The sequence below is a fragment of the Homo sapiens genome, chromosome 5, assembly GCF_000001405.40.
Source record: "Homo sapiens chromosome 5, GRCh38.p14 Primary Assembly".
NCBI lineage: Eukaryota > Metazoa > Chordata > Mammalia > Primates > Hominidae > Homo > Homo sapiens.
In genome coordinates this window covers 6,597,872-6,614,353 of record NC_000005.10, presented here as the reverse complement: position 1 = coordinate 6,614,353, position 16,482 = coordinate 6,597,872, and the positions used below count along the sequence as shown (strand labels likewise).

Genomic DNA, 16,482 nt, shown 5'->3' with positions numbered 1-16,482 from the left:
TGTGGGATTGTCCTGGGGTACTGATGGGTTCGTCTTCATCCGGTCTGAAACCTTTCTTGATTGTGGATTTTCATTGGTCTTTCTGATTTTCAGACTGGCTGGCTGGTTCTTTTTCTTGTATTTAGAATGTTACTGCTGGTTTTCTGAGTGAACGCTTGCAGATCTTTTCAGACTTCACCAAATTTGTGGCTCTAGTTGGCTTTATGTCTGTCTATATGTGTGTGTTGTGGGTTTTTTTTTTTTTTTTTTTTTTTTTTTCCGAGACAGTCTCGCTCTGTTGCCCAGGCTGGAGTGCAGTGGCGCCATCTCGGCTCACTGCAACCTCCATCTCCCGGGTTAAGTGATTCTCCTGCCTCAGCCTCCCGAGTAGCTGGGACTACAGGCATGTGCCACCACGCCCAGCCAATTTTTGTATTTTTAGTAGAGACGGGGTTTCACCATGTTGGCCAGGCTGGTCTCAAACTCCTGACTTCAGGCAGTCTTCCCACCTCGGCCTCCCAAAGTGCTGGGATTACAGGTGTGAGCCACCATGCCTGGCCTGGCAGGCTTTCTTTTGAAAGCCCAGTAAATAACACCCTCTTTCCCTGTCCAGCTTCTGAACCAATTGACAAGGTAATGGAGCAAGGCAGACCAAGGCCAAAATCGCACCTTTATTACCAATAGAGCAGATGATATGCTTTCAGATACTTACCTTTAAAATGAGGCTTATCTCCTCATTGTCACAGGTCACAGAAGGTGTTAGACTATGGCATGCAGTTGAGCTTTGTTCTAAGGGCAAGCTTCACTGCAAGACAAGAAAGGAGACAGTATGCTCAGGTTCTTTATTCAAATTTTGGAATCATTTTAGCTTTCTGAGATGCCAGGGGAGATACCTTGGGGGTGGAGGGAGTTCTTGGTCAGGGGCTGGCTTCTGCCTCCACATAGGAGATTTCAAAGAACAGCCAGCACCGTTTGGCCAGTGGGTTTTAAGTATAAGGGCATTCATATTTAGAAAAAAAGTACATGGATTCTTTTCCTTCAAGTAACTGCATTGCTTTTTGCAACTTTTCCTCTAGTCTTCACTGTGTTGAATAGTTTTGATTGTGTTGTGTATATCTTAAATACCCTGCTTTTTCACCTAACATTCCAATATGTCATAGTAGTTTTTCCTGTTAGCAAGTGTCAAAAATGAATTACTTCATTCAGTGAGTCTCCTATTCTGTAGTCATTTTCTTACTGGACAGGTGGGTTTCCAGCATGGACCTGTGTACAGTATGATGTCACAGCCAACTTTTTGCATGTGGGTGGCTTCAGACCGTATTGTAGATGCTTCCTCCCTTTTCTCTGTCAGAGGCGGTGTGCATGGATATGGCTTTATGCAGGAAGGAGCAGACCTTGGCTGAGCCTTAGAGTGGGTGGTTGCTGGTGATTTTGACTGGAGGGGGTGTGCGTTCCCCACCTGAAAGTGCTCAACAACTTTACTGGAGAAGGGGCAACATGGGGTAGCATTGGCAGCTTCCAACCCAGGTGCTGGGGTGTGGAGATAACACCTGCTGCCTGCCCTGCTCATCTGTGAAGCCCCTGGACAGTGTTTGATGGAGAAGCCCGCATGTTTGCCTGCACTGTCATTTACTGTTAGCTTTTAAAAGGAAGAGGATTCAGAAATGATGGCAGAAGTCAGTACGATGCTTGCTTCAAAGGTTTCTTACTGCCATTCCTCCACCTTGGAGATTCTTTTCCTTTGTTTTTGTAATTGTCCCATTTTCATGTTTTCTGGGAGATTTGTTGAATTTTCCTCTGCTGAGAGGCTGTCACATCAGTATCTGTGCTAGTAGCTGGTCTCACTGGTTTCCTGTAATGGCCTCACCTTATAGCTTCTTATTGTGTCACTGGTATGGACACTTAAGGCCAGTGTGTTTTCACAGCTCTTATCGCATTGTTTTTAAAACTGGGCTGACTGTGTCCCGATGGGCAATTTTAGGAAACTTCCTGGGACCACGAACTTGAGGTTTAAAAATTCCCATAGTTCATTTTCAGCATTGCTCTGGGATGTTTGTTAGACATGCCTGCGTGAAGACCTGCAGCATCGCCCTGGTGTGCATTGGAATGGGGAGACGGAGCAGGCGTCCTGCAGCCCAGCCTTCTGGTTGTCTTCTTGCGGAGTTAGTCTCGCGTCTGTGGCAGGACTCCTCAATGCCCTGTCATTGGAACAACTTTATTGAGCTGTCGTTTACATATTGTTAATGTTTGCTCATTTTAAGTGTACGGTTCAGTGATTTTTAGTAAGTTTACTCAGTTGGCAGCGCCTTACCACAGTCCAGCTTTAGGCCGTTCCCGTCACCCTAGCAGACCTTTCCTGCCCAACAGCACTTGCTCCCCATTCCAGCTGAGCCCCATCGGCCACTCATCCACCCCGTCGGCCACTCATCCACTTTCTGTCGACGGGTTTGCCTTCCCTGGACATTTTCTGTACATGGAATCATATAATATGTGATCTGTGTCTGGTTTTTTTCACTGAGCATAGTGTGTTAATACTTTTTTGAAAAACAAAAGACGTCCATGCTTTTGCTGCACAGGTGCTTTGGAGCTTGCTGATGTGTCTAATGAACTGCCAGGGCTGAAGTGGATGCCTGGAATCACACAGTGGAAGGTAACCTTTCCTCGAGAACTTTCATTCTAAAGAGTAGGTGCAGCATCACTGAAGTAGAGTCAAGTTTCAAAGCATTCACGTGTGAGTAACTTGAATAAATACTACATCTGGTTATGCCAATTAGAATCAATTTCGGAGTGTTATTTCATGACACATTTCATGACAAGTGGCATGTTTATTCCTGGCAGTGGAAAAGTTTTTTTTTCTCCACGTACAGAAATAAACTCTTTTACTCTCATCCCTGTAAGGGTAGCTTTGCTTTTTTTTTTTTTTTTTAAATTGGGCCGGGATTCAAGCCTTGTTTCCAATATGAAGTAATTCATTACAATTTTAGGCCAGAAACAGCCTGAGGCTTGTTTAAAAAGAAAAAAACTAGATGGAAAATGTTATTTTATAATGCTTGTCCTGGTTTTTAGAATAAATGTATTTCATCTTTGTTTTTAACAGAATTTATGTATTAATAATTTGGGGATTTTCTGTAAAGATTGTTTTGTTTTGTCTTGGCAAATAATCTTCCTATCTTTGGAGTGAATGAGAATCACCATTTGTCACCTTTGAGAGAATGGATACTCCTGCCCTGTGATTTTTGTTGGTATTGGATAGTGCTAGTAATCTGGAATGTACCCTGTGGTTCTGCAGGTAATGACGAAAGATGGGCAGTGGTTTACAGACTGGGACGCTGTTCCTCACAGCAGACACACCCAGATCCGACCTACCATGTTCCCTCCGAAGGACCCAGAAAAGCTGCAGGCCATGCACCTGGAGCGATGGTGAGCTGGTGGGGCCTCCAGGTGTGGGGAGGGGGGAAGGTTAAGCCCCATCCCTGGTGAGCTGGTGAGTCTTGTTGGGGTGAGTTGGAGGCAGCAGGTGACATTGCTGTGAGGCTTGGGTTATGCCAGGGTCAACCCCATGTGTGTGAACTTCCCAGCCAGTATGGCTCTTGTGCCTGTTGCTGGCATTGAGCATTTATTAATAGTGAAATTGGCTAGAATCTAAATGGTAATGCTTAGGGTACTTCATGAACTTTTTTTTTTTTTTTTTGAGAGAGAGTCTCACTCTGTCATCCAGGCTGGAGTGTAGTAGCTCGATCTCGGCTCACTGCAACCTCTGCCTCCTGGGTTCAAGCAATTCTCGTGCCTCAGCCTCCCAAGTAGCTGGGATTACAGGTGCATGCCTGGCTAATTTTTGTATTTTTATTAGTAGAGACAGGGTTTCACCACGTTGGCCAGGCTGGTGTTGAACTCCCAACCTCAGGTTATCTGCCCACCTCGGCCTCCCAAAGTGCTGGGATTACAGGCATGAGCCACTGTGCCCAGCCGTCATGAACTTTTTAAAGATTACAAAGTGGGCCAGGTGCAGTGGCCCAATCCTGTAATCCCCAGCACTTTGGGAGGCCAAGGCTGATGGATCACTTGAGCTCAAAAGTTTGAGACCAGCCTGGACGACATGGCAAGACCCCATCTCTACAGAAAAAAAAAAAGAAAAATACAAAAACTGGCCAGGCAGTGTGTTGCATGCCTGTAGTCCCAGCTCCTTGGGAGGCTGAGGCAGGAGGATCTCCTGAGCCCAGGAGGCGGAGGCTACAGTGGGTTGAGATCACACCACTGCACTCCAGCCTAGGCAACAGATCCAGACCTTGACTCAAAAAAAAAAAAAAAATTTAAGTTTACATATTGGCCATTCTATGAGTGAGGGTCGAAGACATGATTTTTCTCTTGTATCATCTTTGCGGTATTTGTCTTAATAGTAAAAGAATGCATTTTTGATTAGTTCAGAGGTGTGAATTATATATATATATTTAGCCTTAGGATATTACCCCATCATCAGAATACTGGAGGGTTTTTTGTGGCAGTATTGGTGAAAAAATCTTCAATGCCGTGGAATAAACGTCAGCCAAAGGTGAGTTTTTCTTTTTCCAAAATGACATAACATTTGATCTTGTACATTTAAGACAAAAACTAACCGGAGTTTAGTAGAAGTACAGAGGAAAGAGGAGCTTCTTGCTGTGGGCAGCAGGAGAGCTGACCCTGAATGAGGGGGAATTTCATTTAAATATCAAGTTTTCCAAAAAGCAGAAATTTCTCATAGGTGATAGGTAAGTGGAGAAGTCAGTGTTTGGGGGAATGTATTCCTGCCACACTGTAAATCCAGTTATTTAATAAAAATTGAAAAGACATGAAAGATTGCTCTGTGGCTCTCAATTGGAAGCCCCAGGTTTCTGTGCTCTAGTTCCTTGTGAGTGGTTCATTTCACCAATTACAGATAGCAGAGCTCTGCTGACCCCAAGCCAGCCCGGGTTCACCTTGGCTGCAAGGAATGATGACGGCCTTGTCCAGACCTGGCTAGAAAGATGCAGCCCGGCCTGTTTGCTATGGATCTAAACTGCCTGCTGGTTCCTTTCCAAGGCAGGCCAGGAAACAGTGGTGAAGGAGTGTTGCCCTCATCCTAACACGCAGTCCTTTGTAATGCGTGCTGTCTCACCTGTATCACGCCAGCATTATTTATTAGTTCATAAATCAGCCTTCCATGATGAAAGAACCTGGCCTGGAATCAAAGTCTGGAAGTCTGTATTTCTTTAAGATCCATGCTTGAAAATTAGGACAAAAAACGCTTAGCTTTGGAGGAACAAAAAGGAAACAGTTCCGCAAAGAGCTCCAGCCTTTTTCTGGGGCACGGTTTGTGCAGTTTAACGTTGGAACGTACAGCCTCAGACGGGCAAAGGGGGCGACTGCACTTCTGCCGCCACCAGGGTTTTTCTGTCAGGTTAGAAAGTATTTCACTTTGAGGCTAAAAGTCTCACAAGGTATCTTAACGCTGATGGAATGTTATTTTCATGGAATCAGTATAAGAAATTATATTGTAAAGTATTAGATACTTTGCATTCATTCATACTAGGTTTCAGTAGCTTGTGTTTTAGACTTTGCGCTTGTCACATTTTAAGTGGTCAGTGACCACAGGCTTGTGGCTGCCCAGCTGCAGAGCACAGTGCAGTCACAGAGGAGCCTGTCTTAGAGACGCGTGCTTTAGGTTGGCCTGCATTAGGGCTTACATTGATGTTTCTGACGTGTTAATACTTACATAGAAAGGTTTTGACATTTTTTCAATTAGCCCCTTATGTATAGTCTTACTTTTTAGAACAACTTATTGTCATTTTCTCGTTTAAATAATATGAATACTTCTCTCTTTCTGTTACTATGTCAGTTTCTTATTCACTTAGTTCAACAGATCTAGTGCTAGCATGGCCTGTGCTGCTGTTGGTCCTACTGGGAACGCAGGTAGAGTCTCCATGGTCAGGATGCCGTGTTCTGTTGTGGTGCTGAGGCCTGTAAGCACTTGGCTAGAAGTTAGGCCAGGGAAGCTCACACTGACCTTGGTATTTGAAGGTCCCAGAATGAGGTTGTTGAGGTAGAACAGAGATGGGAGAACATGCCCTTGGAGCTGGACTCAACAAGAAGGCCCCTCTGGGGGAAGCTGAGGTTGGACAGGAAGGGCGTGTGCCCTCACTGACTTGCTCACAGGCTTGGGGTTCATCTGTTTTGGTTTTTGCTTTTTTACATTATATTAACATGGAAATAAAAGGTGTTCCCTGGGATGCTCCCGGCTTCTCTGCTCAGTAGCTTTGTGGCTCTGAGTAAAATGAACTTGCCTGTGTTGAAATATCCTAATTTTTAAACTTACTTCATAGGGACTGAGGAATTACGACTTTTATCAATTTTGTGACCTGTTAAAATGTTAAAAAGGACATGTATTTTTTAAAGATCTTTAAGTAAAACATTTTGCTCATTCCCAAAGCCAAATTTAAATTATACCATGGCCCTAATTCAGAAGTTCATTCTTTGGCAGGTGTTTCCTTGGTGCCTGGGGCACTCTCTCTTTCTCCCAGTTCCTGTGGCAGTTTGTCCAGGTGCCCAAGAACAATTCATACCCTCCTTTCTCGTTATTTATATACTTGTCTTTTTGCCCCTGCCGGGTATTTTAGAAATCGTGCTTGGTGCACTTTGTGTCCTTCAGTGTGCCTTACCCAGAGCAGATGCACGATAAGCATTTTTACACGAGAACAAGCTGGTGGTGTAGGCCTCTGCTAAGGAACAGGCTGTATATGCTCTTTGTGGGATTAAGGTAGAATCAGCTTTAACTCCAAAGAAACTGTCCATGAATTTTGTTTATAATAGCAAGTAGATTTAAAATGACACTTTAAAAAAATTCTGTTGTCTTTCTCTACATATAATGCTGTAGAAAAATATAACTGATGGATTTTGTGAACGTGGTATTTTTAACTTTTCGTAGCAGCACAAAGAATGCTCCTCTTTGTGTGTCAATGAAATTGTTCTTTATGACAGCTTCAGGGTAAATCTGCAGAGACCAGAGAAAGCACACAGCTGAGCCCTGCAGATCTCACAGAAGGGAAACCCACAGATCCCTCTAAGCTGGAAAGTCCGTCATTCACAGGAACTGGTGACACAGAAATAGCTCATGCAACTGAGGATTTAGAGAATAATGGCAGTAAGAAAGATGGCGTGTGTGGGTAAGAAAAGTGGTTATGTCTTGATCTAATACGCTGGTGTCTTCACAGTCCTTTTGGATTAAATGGGATCCCAGAGCCACTTCTTGGTCGGTTTGAGGGGGCAGTACATGTGTGGTATCAGGCACATGCAGTGTGAGGGCTGGACTCTGTGGAAGCCGGAAGGTTTCAACATCTGCCGCAAACCGTTCCATGTTGCACAGAACTGACAGAAAGGAAGAATGTGCTTTTGGTATTGAAGGTTACCACACATTACAGATTGATTTGTCTCATCCTGATTCCCTTTTTAGTCCTCCTCCATCAAAGAAAATGAAGTTATTTGGATTTAAAGAAGATCCATTTGTATTTATTCCTGAAGATGACCCATTATTTCCACCTATTGAGTAAGGATTCAGCCTTTTTAATTATTCATTTAAAGAAATTTACTATAGAGTATCAAATGTACAACTGATCACATGTAACCATTGTTTTGTATGTAGTTCTGTCTAGCTTTTTTTTTTTTTTTAACCTTTTTAACTGCATATTAGAGCAGGATGAAACTTTAGAGGTTACTCAATCTTTTAATTTAAGGAGAAAGTAAACTTTTACTTTGTGAACATGATAGATAAAAAAAAACTGGACCGGGCGCGGTGGCTCACGGCTGTAATCCCAGCACTTTGGGAGGCCGAGACGGGCGGAGCACGAGGTCAGGAGATTGAGACCATCCTGGCTGACACGGTGAAACCCCGTCTCTACTAAAAATACAAAAAAAATTAGCCGGGCGTGGTGGCGGGCACCTGTAGTCCCAGCTACTCTGGAGGCTGAGGCAGGAGAATGGCGTGAACCTGGGAGGTGGAGCTTGCAGTGAGCCGAGATCGCGCCGCTGCACTCCAGCCTGGGCGACAGAGCGAGACTCCGTCTCAAAAAAAACAAAAGAAAACTGGACTGTGATTATGAATCTAAATTAGTTGTGATCCTGAACCTAAATTACTCAATTGAGTATATAGACGAGTAGCCAAGGTTGTCTAGTTCAGTTTCTGTAGAAGAAATGAAGAGCAGCATGGGTGAGGGCTAATTAGGGATGACATAGACAGAATATAGAGGAAAAGGGTTTAGGACAAGTCTGACATTCATCTGTTTCTTATTCATTGAATTTTAGAATCTATTTACCAGGGCGGTCACTTACTGTCTTTTTTAATAACTGGTCCTTTGCATACATTTGTAAAAGTCTATTAAAAAATAAGTCTCAGCCGGGCACATCCCAGCACTTGGGGAGGCTGAGGCAGGCAGATCATGAGGTTAGGAGTTTGAGACCAGTCTGACCAATGTGGTGAAACCCCGTCTTTACTAAAAATACAAAAAAAAATTAGGTGTGGTGGCGTGCACCTATAATCACAGCTACTCAGGCTGAGGCAGGAGAACCGCTTCAACCCGGGAGGCAGAGGTTGCAGTGAGCTGAGACTGCGCCACTGCACTCCAGCTTGGAAGACAGAGCAAGACTCCATATCAAAAAAAAAAAAAAAGTCTCAAAAGTAGTGTTATCAGGTCATTATCATTGGAGTAGCGGCTGAGGGAGAGAAGCTGCACTTGTTAATTTAGGTTTCTGATGGAGTTGTGCCCCAAATAAATGTTACGTGGAGGTTTCAGGTGGAAGTGGATGAAGTTTAGAAGCTGGAGTCCAGAGCAGAGCCCAGTGCCCTTGAACCACACTGCAGTTTTGGGGATTGAATTCTGGAGGAGGAGAATAAGATGTTTAGAAACAGTCTACCAGATTTTGAACTCATTGTGGATAAACAACAATGTTGTTATGTACAGGAAATTTTATGCTTTGGATCCTTCATTCCCAAGGATGAATTTGTTAACTCGGACTACAGAAGGGAAGAAAAGGCAGCTCTACATGGTTTCTAAGGAGTTGCGGAATGTGCTGCTGAATAACAGTGAGAAGATGAAGGTGCCAGCCGCACAGACGCTGAGTGCTGTGTGATGCGGGATGCGTGTGGCTTTTCACAGCGGCTTAGATTTCATTTGGAGCAGACCGTGACATCTGCCCTCCCCACCTGTAGCGCTGGCTGTGGGTCCCTGAGCCTGCCCTTTGATTTCAGAGCTGTTGACTGACACAGGGCTGAATGGTTCCTGCCAGAGTCCTGAATCTGGTGGCCTGTGTCTTTTCTGTGCCCCATTCCCGCAGGGGGGTGAGCCATGGTGTAGTTCTCACAGCTCGCCCTCCTGGGCAGAGAAGGTACTAAAGGTGTAGAGGCTGCGAGTACTGCTGCCCCGACCCTTGGGATTTGTCCTTTGAGGTACTTCCCTTAGAATTTGGCCATTTGGGGGCCCTTCTTTCATTTGCTTTACTGTCCTCCAAACGACGTAATCACAAGTTGTGAGTATCAGTTCGTTCTTAACCGGGGTTTCTCGGTGGGTTTCTGCTTCTCCTCTCCTTTCCCATTCCGTGACGGTTGCTCCATGTGGCCCGGCATCCTTACAGGAGATGGTCCTGTCTTCATCTCTCTGTGTTTCATCTTATTTTTTTACTTACAGGTTATTAACACGGGGATCAAAGTCTGGTGTAGAAATAACAGCGGTGAAGAGTTTGACTGTGCTTTCCGGCTGGCACAGGAGGTAATTTTGGAAGTGGATTTGAACAGCAGTAGCCACAGATGACTGAAGCAGTCGGGAGTAGATGGGCTTGCTGGTCAGCCAGATGGTCTGAGTGGCTCAGGGCTTGGCTGGCACCTACCAGCCACTTGACCCTCACAGGTTATAGAGCTCTCCCAGAGTGCTGGTTTCCCCTCCTAGGGGGGGGTGGGTTCCACACCTGTCCAAGGGGAGGGGCCATAGTGAGGGCTCGACCACCATAGCCGCTAAGAGCATAGCCCCTGAGAGCAGGCTGTTGTCGTTCATGAATGACATCATGGTATCTGTTCTCTCATTCTCTTTATTCACACAGGGAATATATACATTGTATCCATTTATTAACTCAAGAATTATTACTGTATCAATGGAAGATGTTAAGATACTGTTGACCCAGGAAAATCCCTTTTTTAGAAAACTCAGCAGTGAGACCTACAGTCAAGCAAAGGACCTGGGTGAGTAGTTGGAAATGCATAGAGACATAACTTGTATTCCCTTTATAAGGCCAGCAAAAATGCAGGTGGTGTGCGTTGGGGCATATTTATCAATCATAGTTTTCAGTTTATTTATGGCTACATCAATTTCCAGAGGGTTCTGTAGATCCCTGATTGACAGTTCAGAATGCTAAGGGTCAAAGGCATCTTGGGGTTGGTGTACTTCCCCAGGCTCTGGTGGTGCCCTGCTGCTGCCCAGCAGCCTGTGGTGTGTCTGTGTGGCGTGCAGGGCTGGCCTTTGCTCACCTTGCTGGGCCAGAGAGTCCGGGGAGAGGAGGGGTCAGCCTGTGAGCAGCCCTGGCAAGCCTCCCAGCCAGAGCTCTTGACCCACTTGCCTGTCAGCAGGTCGGGGGTGGGTGGAAGCAGGTCTCTGTGCATGAGCAAATTTGTTTTTTTCTTTTTTTGTTTTGAGACAGAGTCTCGCTCTGTCACCCAGGCTGGAGTACAGTGGCACGATCTCGGCTCACTGCAAGCTCCGCCTCCCAGGTTCAGCCATTCTCCTGCCCCAGCCTCCCAAGTAGCTGGGACTACAAGCACCCGCCACCACGCCCAGCTAATTTTTTGTATTTTTAGTAGAGACGGGGTTTCACCGTGTTAGCCAGGATGGTCTCAATCTCCTGACCTTGTGATCTGCCTGTCTCAGCCTCCCAAAGTGCTGGGATTACAGGCGTGGGCCACCGCGCCCAGCCAGTAAATTTGTTTTTTAAGGTACACAGCCTCACGAGACTGGCTAACATGCAGATTTTAATCACCTGTGTTAGAGCAAAATAAGAGTCTTGCCAGCAGTTCTGACTTTTCTGCTAGCCAGCTGGAGTAGATTATTGGTCATATTGCTGCTTTTATATTTCATCAACTTCCACTTCAGATCACTCCAGTGACGTTTTCCCCTAAGCATAAAAATCATTTCTCCAAGCTGTTCTAATTTTCTTTCTGTTGTCTTCATTCTTGTTTATTTTTTTAAATAACTTGCTGTTTAATATTTTTGGCTCAATTTGATCAAAAGTACGTGAATCACTTCTTGCAGTTACGTTTCTTACTTGCGTTTAAAACTTACTCGTGTGGTTCCTTTGGGATATAAAACATGCTCTGTGGAGTCTGTCTCCCACTGCCGTCTCCAGGCAAGAACCACAATTTAAAGTAGAGATTCTTGTAAAGGATAAAGGACCTGTTTATACTGGTTTTCTTTTAATCCTGCACTTAGATGATTGCAGTATTGTTTTAGACAATTTTTATGTATTTCATGCCATTCTGGGAGTTGGTGTTATAGTTTATTTAATTTTGAATTTTGAAGAATTAACCAGCAGTTAATCCCCAGCCTCCTTGCTTCTCAGAGTGGATTGTCAGGTGACATCCCTTGAAGTCCCTGAATGGCTTTTGCCTGGGTCCTCTTCCAGATCGTCCCTACTGCGTCATTTGGACTTGGTTCATGTATCCAGACGGCCTCTTTTCACCATCTAGATCCTTGAAGCCAAGAATGTAGATTATTTGTTGTTTTCTTTCTTCAGAATACTTAACACATCACTAGGTGCAGAAATGTGCTCAGCGCATGCATCCACTACCTGGAAAACCTGGCAAATGTGTGTCTGTTTCTTTTCCAGCAAAGGGAAGCATCGTGCTGAAGTATGAACCAGATTCTGCGTAAGTCAGTACACGCCCTGCCCTTAGACACACACGCCTTGTCATTAGCTACAGTGTTCTCGTTGGTGAGGAAAGTGACTTGGGAAGGTGGGAACCTTCTTCAGGCCTTTTGTGATTGTTCCTCAGAAGTAGCCTTGTGAAAACTTCAGAACCAAAATATTCCTGTAGGTCATCATGAAGATGCTGTTTCATAGAACACTCAGCTCAGGCTAAGTGAATTTTTACTTACAGAGAATAAAATGCATAGTACTTATTTTTTAAGCATTAGAAACCAATGAAAATTTCTGTCTTGTACAGAGTAAGTGTGAAGATTGGACAGTTGAGTGAGGTTCCGTTCTTTTGTCCTCATGGCTGGTTCAGCCATGTGTGTTGCTGACATGTTACTGCATCAGGAGTGCTAGGGCCGGAGCATGGGATTTGCTCACGCTTGCACTCACGGTCCCCACGGGACCACTGCTCCACGCTGCTTGCATGTATTCACGCTGCATCCTTGTGGGGGGCCTTGGGGGAGCAGGTGCTGGTTTTGGCAGCACTTGCCAGAGGAGGAAGCCGGGACAGAAAGTTAGGTGGCTTGCCCAGAGCTCCTCAGCTCACGAGTGGCAGAATTCGGATCTCACCTGCAACAGCTCCGTCTTGGTGACATGCAACACCATTTCTGAGAGGAGGAAACAGAATGGGGTCCACGGCTGACTGGGATTTGGGGGAGTGAATAGGTAGAACCACTGTACAGATTTCTTTGGGAAGTTAGTGTTGGACCAGGGATCCAGTGCTAACTTGAAGGAACCACCAAAGCGCAGATCCTGAGGCAGGTGCAAGCTGGGGGTCGGGGCGGGCCCAGCCAAGTAGGGAAGGAGGAGGGATAGGTAAGAGGTTGGCAGGGAGGCCGAGGGGCCACATGTCCTCAGGGTTCAGGCTGTCCGGCTGCCATGTGGAGAGAGGACAGGTGGGGGCTGAGGTGGGAGGGGCAGGAACTTGGTGAGGGAACAACAGATGGATGGGCTGGAGAGGTCAGCGAGGCCGAGCGCATGAGCACCCTGGGGACCTGCTGGAGGCGGATGGTGTCTGGATGGTGAACGGGCAGGAGCATCTAGTGATTGATGGCTTCTGGGTGTTTTTAACGAGAGTTTGAACAAAGACTCAGAAATGGTTTTTAAAATAACAGTCCCATGTGGCCCACATAGAAAATATTGGGATATTTTAAGGTGTGGATTCACTTTTCCATATTTAAACACTTGTTTCTACTTGGTGAAATACACAGGTGACAGGTCAACTTCAGGAATAATGGTTTTTTTTTTTTAAGAAGATGGGAGTTGGGAATTTCTTATATTTTCCTCTCACTTCTTAAAACCACCTTTGTGCCCCTGCTTTACATTAGGAAAAATGGAAAGGTGATTAAACACGGCCGTTAGGAGCCTAAAATCTAGGTCAGAGTCCCGTATGAAAGAAATCAGATAAGTTGAGAGAGGGCGTGTGCAGGTTGGAAATGGTGGCGTCCATCTCTGCTGGGGCGTCGATGCCTCCTGGCTGGACAGGTGGAGCCTGGAAGGTAGGGAGGCTCGGAGCATGTTCAGAGAGGCAGGGATGTTTTTGACTGTGGGTAACACTGCATGCTGGGAACGGAAATGAGCACTGTGTGCCCAGCAGGGCTCAGACTGCCATGTGGGGTCCCTGGAGAAGAAATCACGCTAACACTGAGTATCAAAAGGATGAGTGGTCCTGGGTTCTGCTCTGGCAGCCCTGCTAAGGGCAGAGTCTCCCGGTGGTCCTGGGTCCTGCTCTGACGCCCTGCTAAGGGCAGAGTCTCCCAGCCTCTCAGGAGCTTCAGTCCACTTAGGAAACTTGAGGTGAGCTGCAGGGAGCCTGTGGAGAAACGCTTCTCATTTAGTGGGGTGAGGTGACACGGGGTGGCGGGGACAGTAAGTTAAGTTTGAGAAGGAAGTATGTAGAAAGTGTATGTGAAATCTGTAGATTTGGGGCCTCTACTCCATTGTGAACTTAAAGAGGCAGGGCGAAAGCGAGGGTGAGAATTTTACTCAGGACATGAAGAAGGAAGTCCTTTGAGAAAACCTACCCCTCGGATCCAGATGAAATGTCCTCCCAGTAGTTTTGGGGGTTTTGTGGGTATGGGTTTTCTGTGGTTTTCTTTTTTAAGCAGTTGCATATTACATCTCATTCGATTTAGTTATGGGAATGTTTAATGTTCTACATGAAGCCACTTTCACTTGTAGGAATCCAGACGCTCTGCAGTGTCCCATCGTCTTATGCGGATGGCGGGGAAAGGCCTCCATTCGAACTTTTGTGCCCAAGAATGAACGGCTTCATTATCTCAGGATGATGGGGCTGGAGGTATTGGGAGAAAAGAAGAAGGAAGGGGTTATCCTCACAAATGAGAGTGCAGCCAGCACCGGACAGCCAGACAATGACGTGACTGAGGGACAGAGAGCAGGAGAGCCCAACAGCCCAGATGCAGAAGAGGCCAACAGTCCAGACGTGACAGCAGGCTGTGACCCGGCGGGGGTCCATCCACCCCGGTGAGCAGGCCCAAGGCAGCGGGGGCCCACACCCCTCACACGCAAAACTGGCTTCTTCTGGTCACTGGTGTCTGAAACCAAATCCAGAGCAGCCTGTGGCCTGTAAAGCATATATTTCTAATGACTGCAGACTGGTGGGATCATAGGAGCCTTCTGAATGACCAGGACTGCTTTCTTTGGAGCTGATGAAAATGTACTCTTTTAGCGTGTTAGAAATCACTTGTTTTATTTTGTTTCTTTGGCCAAGCTGGGTCTAGTGTTTCTTTTGCTGGGAATAGACTTTCAAAAGTTGTACTTCTATCAAGAAACAAAACTGCCCTTGCAGAAATTTCAGGTCTTTTGTTAAGCCTGTATTGGTCTTAAGGTGCAGTATTTTTTAAATTATTATTTATAGAAAGAATCTATAAATTCTTGGGGAAGTGTGTTATAAGCTTTAATAATTACATTGAGCTGCACCTCAGTGGTGTGTCATTAACATGCAGTGGGGTTAATATCTGAGGCCTCAGATGACTTTGTGCCTTTTGGAATAAAGGGTAAAATAAACTCTCCCAGAGTAAGAGCTGTATCGTGAATTGTCATACTAATTATTGAGGGGGACTTATGTGCTTTTATTGAATGGAGTGCTTTACAATTTTTATTTTTAAATGGGGTTGGGATCCTTGGAATATTTCAATAAAATTGATAAAATATATACATGTGTGATTCCTGTTTTTGCTCTTAGGAAGCAGAAAGAACAAACTTACTTTTGGCTAAATGGCAGTGTTAGAATACATCCTTATTTTCTCTAGTGAAAGCGGTTTTACTGTGAAGGCTGCTGTCTTCCTGTCTACCTCATTTTGTGTGTTGGTCTGTACAAACACCGACCACACACTGCCTTTGGTGGATTTGTCTCTGGAGTCTCCACTGTGGAATACTTTCAAGCTCTGTGGCGTGAAGAGCTCCTATTTCTCTTTCGCCCACATTCTCCACTGAACATTTCTCTACATTTGCATTTGCATCCTCTGGTGTGCTTGCATGTCACTCATTGTTTTCTGAACCCTTTGACAGTAAGTTACAGACGTGTTCCGTTACCCCCTTGCTCCTGTGGTGTTTCCTGGAAACAGAGGCCCTCTTTACAGCTCGCAGCATAGGCGTCAGAAACGTGGATGCAGGTCACCCTCAAACCAGCAAGCTCGCTCCAGCGGCCCAGTAATGTCCTTTGCAGTCACAATGTCCAATTTTGTCTGGGGTGACACCAGTTGCCTTTGGCTGTCTTGTCTCGAGTTCACTACCGTCAGAAACAGTTCCCAGTCTGTCTTTTATGATTGAGACAGTCTTGCAGGGTACCGGTCAGGTAGTCTGAATGTGCTTCAGTTTTGGTTGGTCTGAAGTGTCCCTGTGATGTGTGCGTTTTTGACAGGAGGACCACAGAGGTGGTGCTGTGTTCTCGCTGCGTCATGCCAGGAGGCTGACGATGTTGGGTTTTCTCTTTATAGTGGTGGTGAAGTTTGTTTTATTATTAGTAACATGGTATCTGTCTGCCAAGTTTCTCCACTGAAAAATTTGTAAGTATTGTGCAAGGAGACATTTCAAGACTATATTCCTCTCTCTCATCAAACTTTTAACTGCCAGCTTTAGTATTTCTTGATAATTTGCCTGAGCCAGTTTTTACTGTGACAGCTACAAATTGTTTTCCCCCATTTTTCATCACTTCTACATTATTAGTTCTCATTACATAGAATAAGCACTCCTCTGTCCTTTGTTTGCTTCTTGATTCATTTTCTGTCAGTACGGATTCAAGGATTCTGTTTTATTCAGTTATTTATTTATTATTACTGTCATTTATTTTGGTTCTCAGATTGTCCCGGCATTGGCCAGTGGGAACTGTTTCCAGTCAGTTTCAGTGCTTTATCCTACTTGCTGGTCCAGGCCCTGGACTGGGGACACCGGGCACGGTGGGGACCTGGGGGCCACACAGGTGTGTGGGGATGGGTTTAGTGCTCTCAGCATCTTTCTCCTCCCTCAGCCCCCAGAACTTTTAGGGCAGTGAGATCTTGGTCTACAGAAGGGGATTGTTGA

At 45.4% G+C, this 16,482-nt stretch overlaps 1 protein-coding gene across 3 annotated transcripts in view; it reads left to right on the top strand.

Annotated features, from left to right (window-relative positions):
• NSUN2 (NOP2/Sun RNA methyltransferase 2) overlaps positions 1-15,115 on the top strand; it is a 33,806-nt gene extending 18,691 nt beyond the window's left edge. For all 3 annotated transcript variants that reach the window (NR_037947.2, NM_001193455.2, NM_017755.6), the window contains 10 exons: positions 2,556-2,629; positions 3,269-3,399; positions 4,432-4,528; positions 6,970-7,154; positions 7,442-7,534; positions 8,946-9,081; positions 9,669-9,749; positions 10,078-10,216; positions 11,854-11,893; positions 14,122-15,115. Coding sequence is in view for 2 of the 3 variants with exons in the window: in NM_001193455.2 (NP_001180384.1) it covers positions 2,556-2,629; positions 3,269-3,399; positions 4,432-4,528; positions 6,970-7,154; positions 7,442-7,534; positions 8,946-9,081; positions 9,669-9,749; positions 10,078-10,216; positions 11,854-11,893; positions 14,122-14,428 (1,283 nt within the window). In the remaining variant the exon portion in view is untranslated. The remainder of the gene's footprint in view (positions 1-2,555; positions 2,630-3,268; positions 3,400-4,431; positions 4,529-6,969; positions 7,155-7,441; positions 7,535-8,945; positions 9,082-9,668; positions 9,750-10,077; positions 10,217-11,853; positions 11,894-14,121) is intronic.